Source organism: Homo sapiens, chromosome 10 (assembly GCF_000001405.40).
Source record: "Homo sapiens chromosome 10, GRCh38.p14 Primary Assembly".
Classification (NCBI taxonomy): domain Eukaryota; kingdom Metazoa; phylum Chordata; class Mammalia; order Primates; family Hominidae; genus Homo; species Homo sapiens.
Window position 1 is genome coordinate 69233864 of NC_000010.11, and position 18287 is coordinate 69252150.

At 48.3% G+C, this 18287-nt stretch overlaps 1 protein-coding gene across 4 annotated transcripts in view, besides 1 other annotated feature; it reads left to right on the top strand.

Annotated features, from left to right (window-relative positions):
* The window catches only part of HKDC1 (hexokinase domain containing 1), a 47221-nt gene that overhangs the window by 13532 nt on the left and 15402 nt on the right, over positions 1 to 18287 (top strand). For 3 of the 4 annotated variants that reach the window (XR_007061989.1, NM_025130.4, XM_011540195.3), the window contains exons 5-12: positions 5179 to 5274; positions 6789 to 6888; positions 9319 to 9502; positions 12216 to 12371; positions 13497 to 13730; positions 14561 to 14865; positions 16427 to 16572; positions 16670 to 16789. Coding sequence is in view for 3 of the 4 variants with exons in the window: in NM_025130.4 (NP_079406.4) it covers positions 5179 to 5274; positions 6789 to 6888; positions 9319 to 9502; positions 12216 to 12371; positions 13497 to 13730; positions 14561 to 14865; positions 16427 to 16572; positions 16670 to 16789 (1341 nt within the window). In the remaining variant the exon portion in view is untranslated. Of the gene's footprint in view, positions 1 to 2946; positions 4498 to 4820; positions 5275 to 6788; positions 6889 to 9318; positions 9503 to 12215; positions 12372 to 13496; positions 13731 to 14560; positions 14866 to 16426; positions 16573 to 16669; positions 16790 to 18287 lie in introns of those variants that run through there. The other variant, XM_047425784.1, reaches the window with a different exon arrangement.
* Positions 14209 to 14747: an enhancer, noted in NCBI's record as "H3K4me1 hESC enhancer chr10:71007828-71008366 (GRCh37/hg19 assembly coordinates)". NCBI's record gives its function as "activates a minimal SCP1, AML or CMV promoter by ChIP-STARR-seq in naive H9 embryonic stem cells {active_cell/tissue: H9 hESC(naive)}" and the evidence as "EXISTENCE:reporter gene assay evidence [ECO:0000049][PMID:30033119]".

The following is an 18287-nucleotide window of genomic DNA, read 5'->3' on the forward strand; positions in this document are numbered from 1 at the left end:
CTCCAGCCTGGGTGACAGAGCAAGACTCCGTCTCAAAAAAAAAAAAAGGAATGGGGGCACTGGAGGAGTGAGAATGTCCTGGAGCAGACACAGAGCCTGGGATACACAGTCTGAACTGTGTCACCAGCTAGGCCGGGGTTCCTGGTAACTCATCTCTGTGTGTCTCAGTTTTCAATCTGTAAGCAGGAGGAAGCTAACCCAATCTTATGTGAATAAAGACAGCAAATAAGGGGACGTTCTGGGGCCAGGTTGGGGGAGTTACTGTCAAGAGTCTAGTCTCCCCGGGCCACTCCTGTCTGGGTTGGGGACCCTGATCAATCTCCTCCTCCTGGCCCTCCTGGTTATGATGCCCAGTTGACAGTCACATGGACCTCCTTGGGATGTGCTTGATATTGTTGGCTTGAGTCACTTATTGGTGTGGAATAGTGAAAGGGAATGAGCTTTCATGTTCCACACACATGGCTTTGAATCATGGTTCAGGACAAATTGTGTCCCCTTGGACCAGTTCCTTAATTTCATGAGCCTCTTGTTTTCTCTTTGAGAAAATTTTATTTATTTTTATTTTTTTCTTTGTAGAGATGAGGTCTCACTATATTGCCCAAGCTGGTCTCAAACTCCTGGGTTTAAGTAATCTGCCTGCCTCTGCCTCCCAAAGCGTTGGGATTACAGGCATGGGCCATTGTGTCCCACCTTGTTTTCTCATTTGTAAAGCAGGGATAATAACATCTGCTTGTTGGGCTGAGGTGAAGCTTAGGCAAAGCATTTGTAAAGCATCCAACACTGTGGTTGGGCCTTACACAGTAGCTGCTAGGCTGTGGTGACTGTCCCTGGATTACTTGTCTCTTTGTGCTTTTGTATCTTATCCCTAAATTCAACAGAGGTTTTTGGAGGGCAAGCAGTGCCCGCCAAGGGCACAGACCTTCCCCGCCAAGGTCTCTGACAATGTGTTGTATTTAATAGGTGCTTGATAACTATCTCACAGTTGAAAGGTGTCAATCATTTATTTGATTCCATCGTGGGAATTTGCCATCATCTATACAGGGGACAGGCTGAGTTTTACTTTTTCATTCTTTTATAAAGAAAGGACTGAGAAAAATAATATAAAGAAGGTTCCAGGGGCCTGGCGTGGTGGCTTTTGCCTATAATCCCAGCACCCTGGGAGGCTGAGGCGGGAGGATTGCTTGAGCCAGGGAGTCCAGGCTGCAGTGGGCTGTGATCACACCACTGCACTCCAGCAGCGCAGGCCACAAAGCGAGACTCCATCTCTAAAACAAGCAGCCAGATGCGGTGGTTCATGCCTGTAATCCCAGCACTTTGGGAGGCCGAGGGGGGCAGATCACCTGACATCAGGAGTTCAAGACCAGCCTGGCCAACATGGTGAAACCCCATCTCTATTAAAAATACAAAAATTAGCTGGGCCTGGTGGCGGGCGCCTGTAATCCCAGCTACTCGGGAGGCTGAGGCAGGAGAATCACTTGAACCCACAAGGTGGAGGTTGTGGTGAGCTGAGATCACGCCACTGCATTCCAGCCTGGGTGACAGCGCGAGACTCTGTCAGAAACAAACAAACAAACAAAAAACAACAACAAGCAAACAAAAAACAAACAAAAAAGTTTCCAGGGAATGTTTGGGTGAGACCAAGTGGAGCTGGCTGGCAGAGAAAGGTCCTAGGAGTGAGTAGATGTGTATGTCAGGGGGTTGGGAATCAGGGCCCTGGCTGGATCCTGTAGTGCAGGTGGTGGAGTGAGAGTGTGCCAGCTGCTCTTATTAGAGAGCTCTGGAACAGAGACTCCAGGAAGAAGGAAGAAAATTCTCAAGCTCTGTGAGAATTCATTCAACTTTAAGAATTAAATGCACATGCTTTCTTGATAGCTTGGCAGCGGAGGGTGTGAACGGATGGTTTATCCATCCAGGATTTTGTCATTTATCTATGTTGAATACCCACCAACATCTTTCTCAATAATAATGATAAAAGCACGTGCCTCCGGTTTTGACACTGTACCTCGCGCTGTGCCAAATGCTTTATGCGCATTATCTTGTTAAATCCCCCAAACAATTCTAAGAGGTAGATATGATTATCTTCATTCTATATTTGAGAAACACTGCAGCTCAGCGAGGTTAAGAGACTTGCACAAAGCCACACAACCAAGAGTAGCCCACCCCAAGTTCATAAGCTCCCCAACTACAGTGCCTTTCCAGAAAGACACCACTTTAGAACTTCATTTAAAATGGCAGCAGGTGCCTGAAAGCATTTTGATTTTTTTTTTTTTTTTTGAGCTCTGTCGCCCAGGCTGGAGTGCAGTGGTGTGATCTCGGCTCACCACAATCTCCGTCTCCCAGGTTCAGGCAATTCTCCTGTCTCAGCCTCCCGAATGGTGGTATTACAGGTGCCTGCCACCACACCCAACTAATTTTTGTATTTTCAGTAGAGACGGAGTTTCACCATGTTGGCCAGGCTGGTCTTGAATGCCCAACTTCAGGAGATCCTCCCGCCTCAGCCTCCCAAAGTGCTGGGATTGCAGGCGTGGTGAGCCACTGTGCCCGGCCCATTTTGACCCACTTAGTGTCATATTACAATAAAGATTTTTCAGGTAAAATTTAAACTAAGGAAGGGCATTTAATTATATCAAGGAGAGGCCGGGCACAGTGGCTCATGCCTGTAATCCCAGCACTTTGGGAGGCCGAGGAGGGTGGATCACCTGAGGTCGGGAGTTCGAGACCAGCCTGACCAACATGGAGAAACCCCGTCTCTACTAAAAGCACAAAATTAGTCGGGCGTGGTGGCACATGCCTGTAATCCCAGCTACTCGGGAGGCTGAGGCAGGAGAATTGCTTGAACCTGGGAGGCGGAGGTTGCAGTGAGCTGAGATGGCGCCACTGCACTCCAGCCTGGGCAACAAGAGTGAAACTTCGTTTCAAAAAAAAAAAAAAATTGTATCAAGGAAGGGAAAAATGCTTTTTTTCTCATCGCAGTCTAGTCAAATATACTTATATTTTATAAAATTTCCTCGCAAACTGCCTTTCAATAAAATCTAAAGTTAAGTAGTAAAGTTCCAACCACAAGAAAACTCATTCCTGATAATATTTGAATGTGGCCTCATCTGGCAAAGCTATTTAAGCAGGGCTCTGCTGCAGGAGTGGGTTCGGTAACACTAGAATAAGGGCTCCTGGGGAAGATGGGCTCTGTTCAGCTCCATGACTGCAGAGGGATGGAAAGGGGAAGGCTGTGTGAGGAGGTGTGATTAGGGGGCTTCTTTGAGAAACTGAAAATGATTAAAGAAGGTAGGAGCGTGAGAATTCTTATTATGTTTAACCCATAGCCAACATCATGAGCATAAGAATTAAAGGAAGTCACTTGGTTTTTTATTCTTGTTTTTGAGGGAACAGAAAGTCTTAACCAAAGAGAAATTTCTTTGTGTGTGTGTGTGTGTGTGTGTGTGTGTGTGTGTGTGTGTTTTCTGATAATAAAATAAATGGTAATACTTTTTTCAAGGTTTAAAAAAAGAGAGAGAGAAGGAATGGAAAAGTTTAAAGAAGAAAATAGAAATCACCACTCATCTCAATATTCAAATATTCCCACCACTAGAATTGTGGGTTTTTCTTTTACTCATACCTATATTAAATACAAGTGTTATCCTGTATCTACAGTTTAGCAAATCTATGGTTGATTCTAGTCACCAAATATTTGAGACAAAAAGAAAATGTACAGTTGTATGTAATTGCCTTTTTAATTTAACATTCTATCGCAAGCATTTATCCCTCACTTCCCCCATCCACCTTCCCTGCAACAGGGATTTTTGAAGAAAGCCAGCCTGTGCATCTCTCCCCGCTCTGTCCCTGGAGACAGGGATGTTGTCATAGCCTATGAGAGCAGAAGTTAGGGAGAGCTGCCACACGGCGGCGCTGTGGTGCAGGAAAAAAGCCCGAGGGCTGGTCCAGAGTCAGAGACCTGCATTCGGCTTGGGCTCTATCCTTCACTCGCGGTGAAATTCAGAGCAATTTCCTCCCTCTCTCAATCCCAGCGTTTTTAAATCCATAAATTGAGGGAAATGGAGGAGGTGCGGTCAGGAAGTTTGTGAGCCTGGGTCAGCTGCTCTTGACTGAGACGACTTGGGCGATTCTCTTTTAACTTCCAAGTTCTCTTCCAGTCTGAAACATTCTATGATTATTTGCGATTTCAGACACGAAACTCAGGAAACACCATTTGTAAGCAATGATTGGTAATGCAAATTGAGAACCATTTTTCTTTCTTTCTCTTTATTAAGAGACGAGGTCTCGCTATGTTGCCCAGGCAGGCCTGGAACTCCTGGCCTCAAGTGATCCACCTGCCTCAGGCTCCCAAGTAGCTGGGACTACAGGTACGGGCCACTCTGCCTGGTTGGGAATCATTTTTCTAAGTTGAAATGAAGTTCCTGAGACAATCCTGCAAGGTTACACCATGTTAGTTCTGTTTTGTGGACCTGGCAAACCATGCATTCTGCATGTATAATACACCAGGTATTTTCTTTTTTTTTTTTTTTTTTTGAGACGGAGTCTCGCTCTGTCGCCCAGGCCGGACTGCGGACTGCAGTGGCGCAATCTCGGCTCACTGCAAGCTCCGCTTCCCGGGTTCACGCCATTCTCCTGCCTCAGCCTCCCGAGTAGCTGGGACTACAGGCGCCCGCCACCGCGCCCGGCTAATTTTTTGTATTTTTAGTAGAGACGGGGTTTCACCTTGTTAGCCAGGATGGTCTCGATCTCCTGACCTCATGATCCACCCGCCTCGGCCTCCCAAAGTGCTGGGATTACAGGCGTGAGCCACCGCGCCCGGCCTACACCAGGTATTTTCATTAGAGCATTCCTTTGAGAGAGGTAGGGAGGTGACATTTCCACTTTGCAGAGGAGTAGACTGAGGCTCAGAGAGGTTAAACGACTTGTCTAATGTCTCATGAATCCAAGAGCTCTAACTTTTCAATAATTACTCCTTCTGCTACCATATATTTCAAACCACTCAGATGAGAGTAATAGTCCTTTAAATTATTAGAAAAGGCTGCAGAAGCAATGTTTTAAAAAAATTGGGGTGATTCAGCTTAGAGAAGAGAAGGCCATGGGGGATGCACGTAGGCATGAAGTTTCTGCGGCTCAGTTGCACATCTCAGCACGTCTTTCATTCAAACTGGACCTGAAATCTTCTCCCAGGGTGTCCTACTTTCGTGGACAAAAAAGTTTAAGGCACGAGGAGTTCAGGACACGGATGTGGTGAGCCGTCTGACCAAAGCCATGAGAAGACACAAGGTGAGGAATTCACCTCGGTGTGGGAGGCTCTCCCAGCCCTAGCTCCTTTCTCTTGGGTTGGTGGGGCTGGGGGTGAGGTGAGGGGGTCACATATGGTGCCTGCATGGAGGGAGAATCAGAGAAGGAATTGATCTTAGAAAAGGTCCCACTGTAGTACAGATGTGGCCAACTTGGATGAACCCACAGAGCCTTGGTAGGCGGGGCTTGCACCAATCCCTATTGAAAGGTGGCCAGCTCATCCCTGGGCCTCCCCAGCAGCCACAGCCCTCTCCGGAGGTCTTGGTTAGATCTGATGCTGTGTGTAGGCCCCACACGCCCTCCTCTCTGAGGCTGAAAAGATCATATACTTTCCGGGCTGGTTCCATATTCTTTCTGGGCTGGTTCTCTATTTCACTGTCCACTCCCTGTCCATTAAATATCCCTATTTGTTGAACGTATTTTACAATAATTTAAACTACTGCGAAAGCAAGACTCGCTCCTTGCTGAGCTGGAAAGTACACAAACCCAAATTGCTTGTTGCCCTGACAGCAAGAGGCATGTTTGCTGCATAGCCTTCCAGCCTTTTTTTCTTTAAAGCTGGGATCTTATTGTTTTATAGCCTGCATTTTCCCTTATTGTTTTCATTTTACTTTTTTTTTTTTTTTTTTAGAGATGAGGTCCTGCTGTGTTGCCCAGGCTGGCAGTGCCTGGCACTCCATCCTCGAATTCCTAGGCTCAAATGATCCTCCCACCTCAGCCTCCTGCATAGCTGGGACTATAGGCATAAGCCACATGCCTGGCTCTCATTTTACTTTAAAATGTTCTTCCAAACTTTGGGGGATGTTGGTGCAATAACCCAAGCTGACTTGGCAGAACAGGAAATCCAGACAGGAAGTCACCATGCCATACATGGGGAAGACTTGGCCGAGTCTGTGCCTGCTGGCTGAGTTGTCCCCGTGGGTGAGGACTTTGGTGTTTTCTCCTGGAAATGCCACTGGATAAACATGCTTTCCTCAATGTCTTCCCAGGATCTCACAAACAAAGGCTGAAACCTGGGTGTGATGTGTGCCTGTAGTCTCAGCTACTCAGGAGGCTGAGGCAGGAGGATCACGTGAGCCCAGGAGTTTGAGGCTGTGGTGTGCTATGTTTGTACCTGTGAACAGCCATCACACTCTAGCCTGGGCAACATAGTGAGACCCTATCTGCAGATTAAAAAATAAAATTTTTTAAATTAAAAAAAACATCGACAACAAAAAACAAGGGCTGGAGTCCCGGTGGCCTGTCCCTCATATTTCCATTGCAGAGGCCTTCACCCACAAAGCAAGAGGATGGGCTCCCCTCTTCAGCTCCTGTCGGCTCTTTCTCTCCCCTAGACCCTGAACCTTGATGAGGCCTTGCTCCTTCAGACAGGCCCAGCAGGCAGGATCTAGGGATGTCTCAGCAGCCACCTTCACTACCTGCTGCCTCTGTGGGGAAGGAGGGAGGGAAACACCTCCTTCCCACCCGCTGATTCCCTCTGGCCTTGTGTTCGGCAGGACATGGACGTGGACATCCTGGCCCTGGTCAATGACACCGTGGGGACCATGATGACCTGTGCCTATGACGACCCCTACTGCGAAGTTGGTGTCATCATCGGTAACTCAATTGGACTGGTTTTTTGAGGGTAGGGGAGAAGGGACTGTTTGGGAGTTTCATTTCAGCGAGCTCTGAGTGAATTCGGCGGGAAGGGCACTGCACTATTTAGGAGAAGCAACATAGGGACATGAAAAATTCATTCATTCATCCATTCGACAAGTGTTTACTGAGCACCCATTGTGTGCCGGCCCCTGGGCTTGGCACTGGGTTTGGAGTGGGGAGTTCCTGTGCTCCTGGAACTTTCAGTGGGGAGGTGGGTGAGAGGCCCAGAAGGCCTAGGCTATTAAGATAATTTCAGGTGGTGGTTAGCGTGATAAAAAAACAAAAAACAAAAAACAAAGAGAGTGATGTGACTGTGAGTGGGATGAGGCGTCAGGGAAGCCTCTCTGAGGGGTGGCATTTGAGCCGGGACCTCAGTGATGCAAACCAGGGAGCAAGGTGGAGGCCCGAGGGTAGGGAGTCCCTGCCAAAGGAAAGAGGACACCTACAGGCTTGGAGATGGGAAGGGGTCCAGGGAGGGGGCACTGGGGGAACCCTATAGCCGAGTGGTGTCCGGATGAGGTGAGTGAAGGCTGAGAGTCGGAGGCCATTCAAGTGAGAGGCAGAGGACAGACTGGGCAGATTGCACAGGATGTGCACACAGTCACTGTAAGGTCACCGGCTTATCCCCTGAGGGAGACTGGAAGGCACTGGGGGACTCTGGGTGGGGGATGGATAAATGGATGCGCATTTTATTTTATTTTTTTATTTGAGACGGAGTCTTGCTCTGTCGTCCAGGCTGGAGTGCAGTGGCACAGTCTTGGCTTACTGCAACCTCTGCCTCCCAGGCTCAAGCAATTCTCCTGCCTCAGCCTCCTGAGTAGCTGGGATTACAGGTGCCCACCACCACGGCTGGCCAATTTTTTGTATTTTTAGTACAGATGGGGTTTCACAGTGTTTGCCAGGCTGCTCTCAAGCTCCTGACCTCAAGTGATTCACCCGCCTTGGTCTCCCAAAGTGCTGGGATTACAGCCATGAGCCACCACGCCCGGCCGGATGTGCATTTTTTAAAAGCCCATTTTGGCTGCTGTGTGGATAATAGATTACTGGGGACAAGAGTGGAAGCAGGGTGACCATCCAAGAGACCACTGGACTGTCAGGCAAGGTGCACTGCAGCTGTGGACCAGAGAGGTCGTGGTGCAGTGGGGGTTTCCAGTGGGTGGTCTCCACACCAGAGCGAGGGGGTCAGCTGGAGGAATGTGTGGGAAGGCAGTTTGGGGTACAGTAAAGCTGAATGGCTCTGACTTATAGGTTGTTCTTGAATATCCCCTTCTCCTTTTCCCATTCCTTTACCACTCCTGGGGAAAGTTCTTCTGAATTGCTTTTTCTTAATGTCCCTCAAGACCCTCCTCAGCCTGGCTTTCCCAAAGGGCAGGTTTTTAAACCTGAGGGGCTCCCTCCACCCTTCTGTTTCCAGGAGCCTCAGAATGGTTCAGGCCCTTGCCAGTCATGGCACCCGCCTGTCACTGTGGCTGCGTCTGGTAACCACAGATTGGGGGGGCCACGCCTAAACAGTGTCCGTGCATTTCTGAGAAAAGCTTTTTCCAAATATTACATTCTGCTTTTCTACATTTCTCATTTTCCATGTTGGCATTTAAAATACTCATACCAGAGTATCAGCCAAGGGAAGATACTGAAGAAAAAAAAAAAAAAAAAAAAACCCGAAAATTCAAACAGCTTTATTGAGGCATAAAAGTCCTCCGATTTTAGGTATACGATTCAATGATTTGTAGTAAACGTATAGTTTTGTAACCATCACCACAATCCGATTTTAGAACATTTCTGTCCTCCCAAAAGAGTCCAAAAAGATGGTGCCCACTTGCAGTCATTCCCCAGTGCTCAAGTGTTTGAGGCATTTCCTTGGAGCGATTTTGTGTTTGCATAACGGAATGTTGCTTTCTTAGGTGGTAGCTAATCACAGTCTAAGATAAGGATGCAGCTTATGCTAGAAACAATTTGTGGCAGGCCATAAGTAAAGAATATTTTTAGTATCAAATAGAGAGGAAGCTAAGTAGCTTAAGGAAAGAATTTTCAAAATTACCCTGGGTTGGTGATTTTTTGAAAAAAATATTTACAAGATTATCTTCATTTGTCCTCTTGTAAGAGCGCTTCGTCAGCTTTCATCCATATTCATCAGCGGACTTCTTCACAATTGACTCCATTCAGAACAGCAAACCCTGAGCACCCTGAGAAGTGCAGACTTGACATGTCAGCTGTTTTCCCCATGTGCTTGGGGCTTGCCCAAGCTGCTTCCCTCAGCGAGAGCCAGCCCCCAGGGAATGAAAAGCACTTTGTGGTACATTGAGGAGGACTCCCCAGCAGTCAAGAGTTCTCTGTCTGTGCCCAGCTGGGAGTCCTCTCTCTGCATATTCTCTCTGATCCCTGGTTCAGGAACTGGCACCAATGCGTGTTACATGGAGGACATGAGCAACATTGACCTGGTGGAGGGCGACGAGGGCAGGATGTGCATCAACACAGAGTGGGGGGCCTTCGGGGACGACGGGGCCCTGGAGGACATTCGCACTGAGTTCGACAGGGAGCTGGACCTCGGCTCTCTCAACCCAGGAAAGCAACTGTGAGTTCCCTTCTGGTGTTATCTGGGCATCGGCACCAGGCAGTGCCTAATCACTCAGGTCCCCTGGCTACCTGGGAGGCTTTCCAGTTGTGACTAGCTATCCATCACAACTTTCTTTCTTTTTTTCTTTTTCCTTTTTTTTTTTTTTTGAGATGGAGTCTCACTCTCTAGCCCAGGCTGAAGTGCGGTGGCACGATCTTGGCTCGCTGCAACCTCCACCTTCCAGGCTCAAGCAATCCTCCCACCTCAGTCTCCAGAGGAGTTGGGACTACGGGCATGGGCCACCATTCCTGGCTAATTTTTGTATTTTTTGTAGAGTCAGGGTTTTGCCATGTTGGCTAGGCTGGTTTTGCACTCCTGAGCTCAGGCAATCCTCCCGCCTCAGCCTCCCAAAGTGCTGGGATTACAGGCATGAGCCACCATGCATGGCCCCATTACAACAAATTTATAAGGCATTGCTTGTATTTCAGTTTCATCTGACAAATGAGGAAATAGAAGCCAAGGACATTGAAAGATTTCCCTAAGTCATAACCCTAATAACCCTAATTCTAATTCAGTCAGTATTTGTGGGTTACGTATGTGCATGATAGGCACTGAAGATAAGAGCACTCGGACGCTTGGCCGCAGAACACACCTGGGCAGTGAGGAGAAGGCAGGCACAGCCGAACTCGTCGTGTTCGCATGTCCCCCAGCCGCCTTGCTTTCTCGGAGGCCTAATCACTCAGCAAGTGGTGACTCTGGCAGGACCTTCCCTCTGTGTTTGCTGTCCACAATTTTTATTTTGATGCTCAAATTGTTTCAGATTTGGCCAAAGGAAGCCTCTGAAGCTGCCTCCTGTGTCCTTTTGACATGTTCCATCACTCTTTAAGTACTTCCTTATTTCCTGGCACCGTAAGACGTTCCCGGCTCATGTCGCACTTTCCTAGCCCCAGCCCTGGAATCAGCCATTTTGTCAAGACATGCTGGTGAATTTCAAGCACCTTCTAGGAGCGATTCAAACACTAGAACTGTGCACCCGGGAAGCACATTCCACTTTGGTGGCACCTACTCCAGGCACATGCCTGTGCTCTAGTGACCCATTGCAGTCATGTCCCAAGGACGTGGTGTCCATTTTTTGAATTTTATCATCTTCACCCATTTCCATTTTACTTAAAATAAATTCTATTCCTTCCAGGCCTGGTGGCTCATGCGTGTAATCCCAGCACTTTGGGAGGCTGAGGTGGGAGGACTGCTTTAGTCCTGGAATTTGAGACCAGCTTGGGCAACATAGTGAGACCAGTCTCTATAAAAATAAAAATTAAAAAAAAAAAATTAGTCAGGTGTGATGGCAGATGCCTGTAGTTCCAACCACTCAGGAGACTGAGGTGGGAGGATCACTTGAGCCAGGGAGGTCCAGGGTGCAGTAAGCTGTGATCATACCATTGCACTCCAGCCTGGGCAACAGAGCAAGACCCTGTCTCAAAAAATATATATATATATTATATTCCCTGACATCCACCCTAAATTTCTTTTGATTGTCTTCTGTTTCTTCAATGCTCAAAGACTTTTTTTTTTGAGATGGAGTCTCACTCTGTCGCCAAGGCTGGAGTGCAGTGGTGCAATCTTGGCTCACTGCAACCTCTGCCTTCTGGGTTCAAGCAATTCCCCTGCCTCAGCCTCCTGAGTAGCTGGGATTACAGGCATGCGCCACCATGCCCGGCTAATTTTTTTGTATTTTTAGTAGAGACAGGGTTTCACCATATTGGCCAGGCTGGTCTCAAACTCTTGACCTTGTGATCCACCCGCCTTGGCCTCCCAAAGTGCTGGGATTACAGGCATGAGTCACTGTACCTGGCCTGTTCTAAGACTTTTTATAGTGAACTATATAAAGTAGATTGTGACATAGATTGTTCTTGATTTTGTGTCTTATTGTGTTTGGAAAATAAGCATTATATTTAGGCCTGATGCGGTGGCTCTTATCTGTAATTCCAGTGCTTCGGGAGGCCAGGGCAGGAGAAACACTGGAGGCCAGGAGTTTATGATAAGCCTAGGCAACATAATTAGATCCTGTCTCTACGAAAATAAAAAAATTAGCCAGGTGTGATGATGCACCCCTATGGGAGGCTGAGGCAGGAGGATCACTTGAGGCCAGGAGTTCGAGGCTGCAGTGAGCTATGATTGCACCACTGCACTTTAGCCTGGGTGACAGAACGAGATCCTGTCTCCAATAATAATAATAATAATAATAATAATAATAATAATAATGTTCAATAGTCTGCCTGGGAAACAATTAGGAATTGTTGGTGTGCAGACTTGGAGTAAAGCTGTAGGTAGCCATGGCAATGTTAAATCCACATTGTTGTAGAGCCTGTCTGGGGCTGTCCAAGCCCATCTCACAAGCACAGCATCTTTCTCTCTTGGACAGAAGCTTGATGTAGGAGTGGGAAGCATCTGAGTGTGAAATTTGACTTGTCGCATCATGTTTGAGTGATTTTGGGAAAATACCCAAAGTCTGTGAAATTGAGAGTCCCTATGCTCGATGTGAGAATGGTACCCATGGCCAGGGTGATTTGAGACAAAAGTTCTTGCCATCCAGCACTTTGCGAGAAGGAGGGAATCTTAGCTCAGCCCTCTCCCATGTGCTCCTTCCTGTGGGCAGTGGCTCCTGGTCTTCGGGAAATGATGCAGCTTAATCAAAGGGGCTGCGTCCACAGATCTGTTCACCAACCTGCAGGTTCGAGAAGATGATCAGTGGCCTGTACCTGGGGGAGCTTGTCAGGCTTATCTTGCTGAAGATGGCCAAGGCTGGCCTCCTGTTTGGTGGTGAGAAATCTTCTGCTCTCCACACTAAGGGCAAGATCGAAACACGGCACGTGGCTGCCATGGAGAAGTAAGCAAGTCCCTCTGCCTTGGCTCTGTGGAGGGCTGGGATGGGAGGCCCAGGTGTGGGGTGCTCCATGTGGTAGGACAGCAGGAGGGACTAGATCCTCCTCCTTCACCAGGAAGATTTCAGACCTGGGCATGGCTTCAGATGGGTTAGCAATTTCTGCCATGACTCAGATGAGAGGTTCTTGTTGGTTTCATCAGTGAGGGACTCTGCTGTCAGAGGGCCACCCTCTTCCCATGTTCTGTTGCCTTCTTGTTAAAGTGGTAACTTGTAGCATTTTTAGGATCACAGATCCTTTTGAGAACTTTATTCAGGTTCTAGACCCTTAGCCCCGAAAATGTACATTCACACACAAGTTTGCTTACAATATCAGGGCATCCTTGGACACTAAGCTCATTGTGGAATCCAAGTCCAGAACTCCTGTGATAGCAGAGCCTTCTCCACCTGCTCCCATCAGGAACTGGCTTTGAATGTGGTGATGTGAGGCCTTACACACAGGTCCCTCGCATGGAGCTGGCTGGTGAAGGCTGCAGGTGACGGCGGCTGGCCCCGGTGTGACTGCATTGCCGTCCAGCACATCTGAGGGTCCTGCTCCTCAGGCTTAGAAATCTTGGCATCGCCTTGACTTTGTGATCAGTTTAGATTCTGAGCTCAGCCACGTGGCGCTGACCTGCAGCATCTATGTCTATGCAGAACTTGGCAGGGACAGAATTTCCGTGAAAGTCAGCATAGCACAGGGTGATTAAAAGTGTGGGTGCTAGAATCTAACTGCTAAGTTCAAATCTCGGCTCTAGCCCTTACTAGCTGTGTAGCCAAGGACAAGTTACTCAACCTTTCTGCACTCACATCTCTCATCTGTACGACAGGGTAATGACGGTGCCTCCCGCAGGATTTTTGTGGGCGTTGAAGGAGTTACTATGTGTAAAATCCTTAGACAAGTACCTGGCTCATGGTGACTGCTCAGTTAGTGGCAGCTGCTACTATCAATGTTGATATTGTTATTTTTATTCTATACCATGGACCTGCCTATTAATTTTCACAATCCTGAGAGGTGGAGAAGCTTGTTCCCCCAGGAGGATACCAGTGGGATGGAGAAGTGTCGTTCACTCATTCCTGTCCCCTGGCCAGGTATAAAGAAGGCCTTGCTAATACAAGAGAGATCCTGGTGGACCTGGGTCTGGAACCGTCTGAGGCTGACTGCATTGCCGTCCAGCATGTCTGTACCATCGTCTCCTTCCGCTCGGCCAATCTCTGTGCAGCAGCTCTGGCGGCCATCCTGACACGCCTCCGGGAGAACAAGAAGGTGGAACGGCTCCGGACCACAGTGGGCATGGACGGCACCCTCTACAAGATACACCCTCAGTGAGTGCTGCCTGCCATCCACGCCCCCACAAATGAGTCTCCCTGGAGCAGGGCCCCAGTGTCTTCTGGACTATCCTGCCTATCTGGGGTCTGGAACCAACAACCCCTCTTGTTGGTTCTGAGATTACAAGGGAAAAGGTGAATCCAGGGCCTGCATTCATCTAGCTGGCTGGGTTGCTTTTGGGGATTACTCTTAAAGAAATATTCTGCTAAAGCCAATTGCCTAATTAGGAATGCTGTCCATCCATGTATCTATGTCCACCCATCCATCACCCGCCCATTCATCTCTCCATTCATTCTTCCATCTAGCCATTATTTACTGAACACCTACTATGTGGTTAAGGCTGGGAAGTAAGATACACCTAGTCATAGATGGGGAAAAATAGAGATGGCACAGGTTGCCAAGATTATGGGAAGGGTCCTGGTAGGAAAACACAGGGAAATGGGAATTTTCCAGAAGGAAGGAGAGTGAAAGCCCCTTTGGCTACCGGGGTGGACTTGGAAGTCAAGTGGTTACACCCTGGAAAGAGCTGAGAAAGAAAATCCTTCTCTTTGGACAGAAATGATGTTCAGCCAATACATTATGCACAGACTGGTTGAAATGTTCGTTGACAGAATAAGCACTTCCCCGAGCCTCCCAAGTGCCTTCCACTGCCCCAGCTTCTTAGTCCCTCCCTCCTCTCATCCCCTCCCCTCCCTACCATCAGCAAATAAAGGGCTGAGCCCCGCCCCGCAGGGCCCTCCGGGACTGGGTTTACTGCTGCCCCTGGGTCTGTGCCTGAGCCTGGCCTTTATGATTGCTAAATATTTTGCCATCACCCCTGCTTCAGGTACCCAAAACGCCTGCACAAGGTGGTGAGGAAACTGGTCCCAAGCTGTGATGTCCGCTTCCTCCTGTCAGAGAGTGGCAGCACCAAGGGGGCCGCCATGGTGACCGCGGTGGCCTCCCGCGTGCAGGCCCAGCGGAAGCAGATCGACAGGGTGCTGGCTTTGTTCCAGCTGACCCGAGAGCAGCTCGTGGACGTGCAGGCCAAGATGCGGGCTGAGCTGGAGTATGGGCTGAAGAAGAAGAGCCACGGGCTGGCCACGGTCAGGATGCTGCCCACCTACGTCTGCGGGCTGCCGGACGGCACAGGTGGGCCAGCACAGCCTCCCTCTCTGAACAGCCATCCAGGGCTCCCGTCAAAACTCCTTAAAGCCAGTGAGGTTCTTGGTTTTTAGAAACTTGGGTTCACGTCTCTAATGGAGGGCAAGAGTAAGAAGAAGGCTAGTATTCTTTCTAAATCTGTTGGCCTTTGTTAACCCAAGGCATTTGCAGTAAAAACAAAACAAATAAACAAACAAAAACACAAAAAGCCTACATTAGGTTATGTGTGTGCACTTATGTGTGTGTAGATGAGAACATGAGTGTACCCCCCCCGACCCCCAGATCCTGACCCCAGGAACTTTGTTTTAGATGCCTGAGATTGCCTGGGCTTGTCTTCCTGCTGCTTCTCTGGCTCTGTTCTCTTCTGCAGCTTGGCTCACTTCCCTTTCCCTCTCATTGCTTCTGCCCCCAACTTCTCCAACCCTTGATCCTTCTGGTCCTCGGTGCTCAGCCAAAAGAAGCCACTAAGTAGTGAAATCAGTTCTTCAGACAAATTATTTTACCTCTTTGAATCTCACGAGACTCTTCCGGAAATAATGACCTTAGTAAAATGCTTTACATCTTATAATTTGCTTTTGAACCTTTCATTTCATTTCATCCTCACAACCACTTGGAACGTTACCAAAGAGGAAATGGTTCCCATTTTATGGATGCCATACCTGAGACTTACAGAGGCTAGATGACCTACTCAAGGTCCAACAGCTGTACTTGGGATCTCTTAACTGAGAGCAGTAAAAGACACTGTTTATTTTATTTTTATTTTTATTTTTTTTGAGACGGAGTCTCGCTCTGTCACCCAGGCTGGAGTGCAGTAGCGTGATCTCCGCTCACTGCAAGCTCCGCCTCCCAGGTTCACACCATTCTCCTGCCTCAGCCTCCCGAGTAGCTGGGACTACAGGCGCCCAGCACCACACCCGGATAATTAATTTTTTGTATTTTTAGTAGAGATGGGGTTTCACTGTGTTAGCCAGGATGGTGTCGATCTCCTGACTTCGTGATCCACCTGCCTCGGCCTCCCAAAGTGCTGGGATTACAGGCGTGAGCCACCGCGCCAGACCGGAGGCCCCTTGAGTATAAGAATCATGCATTTCCTTGACTGGATGCCCTGTACCGTTCCTTGGGGCTCCCGAGAAGGCTGTCAGTCAGTGAAGCTGAAAGAGCCTTCAGAGGTTCAGTCTCCTGATTTTGCAGATGTGGAAGGATGGGACCTTGCCTCTCTTGCTCAAGATAAAAAGCCATTTCTCAGAAGCCCCAGGTCCCTTGACTCCAGGCCAGGGCTCTTTTCACGGCACCTCACTGGCGATAGTGTAGGTGGTGCCTGGGACTTTACCACAGAAGTGGAGGCCAAGGAAAGCAGCCTGGCCTCACGCAGGCTCAAGATGCCTGCCCGGGGCCCGGGCACTGTGCAGGGTGGCCCCCACGACCCTCTGGTCTATGAGGCCCAGGAGTGCAGGCCCTGGGTCCGCTCTGCTCCGACGTCTCCTCTTCCTCCCAATGCCCCGACACAAGTCCCTGTCATGGAATGCAGCTGCTGCTTTCTCCATCACAGAGAAAGGAAAGTTTCTCGCCCTGGATCTTGGGGGAACCAACTTCCGGGTCCTCCTGGTGAAGATCAGAAGTGGACGGAGGTCAGTGCGAATGTACAACAAGATCTTCGCCATCCCCCTGGAGATCATGCAGGGCACTGGTGAGGAGGTAAGTGCCAGGCAAGGCCTTTGGGCTCCGAGGTGCCAGCCTGCCACCCTGCATCGATGTCCGCCTGGTGTGAATGCCGCTCTCTCTCTCTCTGCAGCTCTTTGATCACATTGTGCAGTGCATCGCCGACTTCCTGGACTACATGGGCCTCAAGGGAGCCTCCCTACCTTTGGGCTTCACATTCTCATTTCCCTGCAGGCAGATGAGCATTGACAAGGTAAGATAGCCCCACCAGGCTCACGGCCAGCCCAGTGGGCTTCCTTCCTCTTCTGGGACCATCTCCAGGTAACTCCCAGCCTGCCTTCATTTTTACAGGGATCTTGGGTTCAGGGCAGCTGGGAACACATGATAGAGAATTTCAACAATTTAATTTTTAATCAATTTATCACGATTTTTTAGACTGACCATTCACAAGAGAATTTAGAGTAGTATGCAATAAAGGGACATGTGCATAATATTCCTACTAAAAGAGAGGTCGAATCATATTATGGAGAGAGGGAGAAAGAGGTAATGTCCAGTGAAGGCCAGTTATAACAATTGGGCAGTAATACGATCTGTGTCTTTCTGGACAGCCATGTAAACAGGGAATTACAATGGGTTTTTATCGTCTGATGAAAGAAATCTTGCCAGCACATCACAAGAAATACATTTCTTTTTTTTTTTTTTTTTTTTTTTTGAGACAGAGTTTTGCTCTTGTCACCCAGGCTGGAGTGCAAGGGCGTGATCTCGGCTCACTGCAACCTCTGCCTCCTGGGTTCAAGCAATTCTCCTGCCTCAGCCTCCCAAGTAGCTGTGATTACAGGCACCTACCTCCACGCCTGGCTAATTTTTTGTATTTTTAGTAGAGATGGGGTTTCACCATGTTGGCAAGGCTGGTCATGAACTCCTGACCTCAGGTGATCTACCTGTCTCGGCCTCCCAAAGTGCTAGGATTACAGGTGTGAGCCACCACACCCGGCCTACTTTATAAGTTTTGAAATCAGGAAATGTGAGTTCTCTTTCTTCTTATTCAAGATTGTTTTGGCTATTCGGCACTCCTTCCATTTTCATATGAATTTTAGAAGCAGCTTGTCAATTTCTGCAAAGAAGCCAGCTGAGATTTTCATAGGAATTGAGTTGAACCTATATATTAATTTGGGGAGTTTGCCACCTTAACAATAGCGAGTTCCAATCCATGAACATGGGATATCTTTCCATTAATTTAGGTCTTCTTTATTTTCTTTCAACAATCCTTTGTAGTTTTCAGAGTAAAAGTCTATACTTCTCTTGTTTATTCCTAAGTAATTTGTGCTTTTTGATGCTATTATAAATGGAATTGTTTTCTTTTCTTTTTTTTTTTTTTGAGACAGAGTCTCACTCTGTTACTCAGGCTGGAGTACACTGATGTGATCTCAGCTCACTGCAACCTCTGCCTCCCGGGTTCAAGTGATTCCCCTGCCTCAGTCTCCCGAGTAGCTTGGATTACAGGTGTGTGCCACCACAACTGGCTAATTTTTGTATTTTTAGTAGAGATGGGGTTTCACCATGTTGGCCAGGCTGGTCTTGAACTCCTGACCTCAGGTAATTCACCTACCTCAGCCTCTCATAGTGCTGGGATTACAGGCGTGAGCCACTGTGCCTGGCAAGAAATGCATTTCTTTTCTAATATTAGTATCTCAGAAGCAATTGATCACATGGCCACTTTAGCTGACATTGAAGAACATCATAGTTTATCA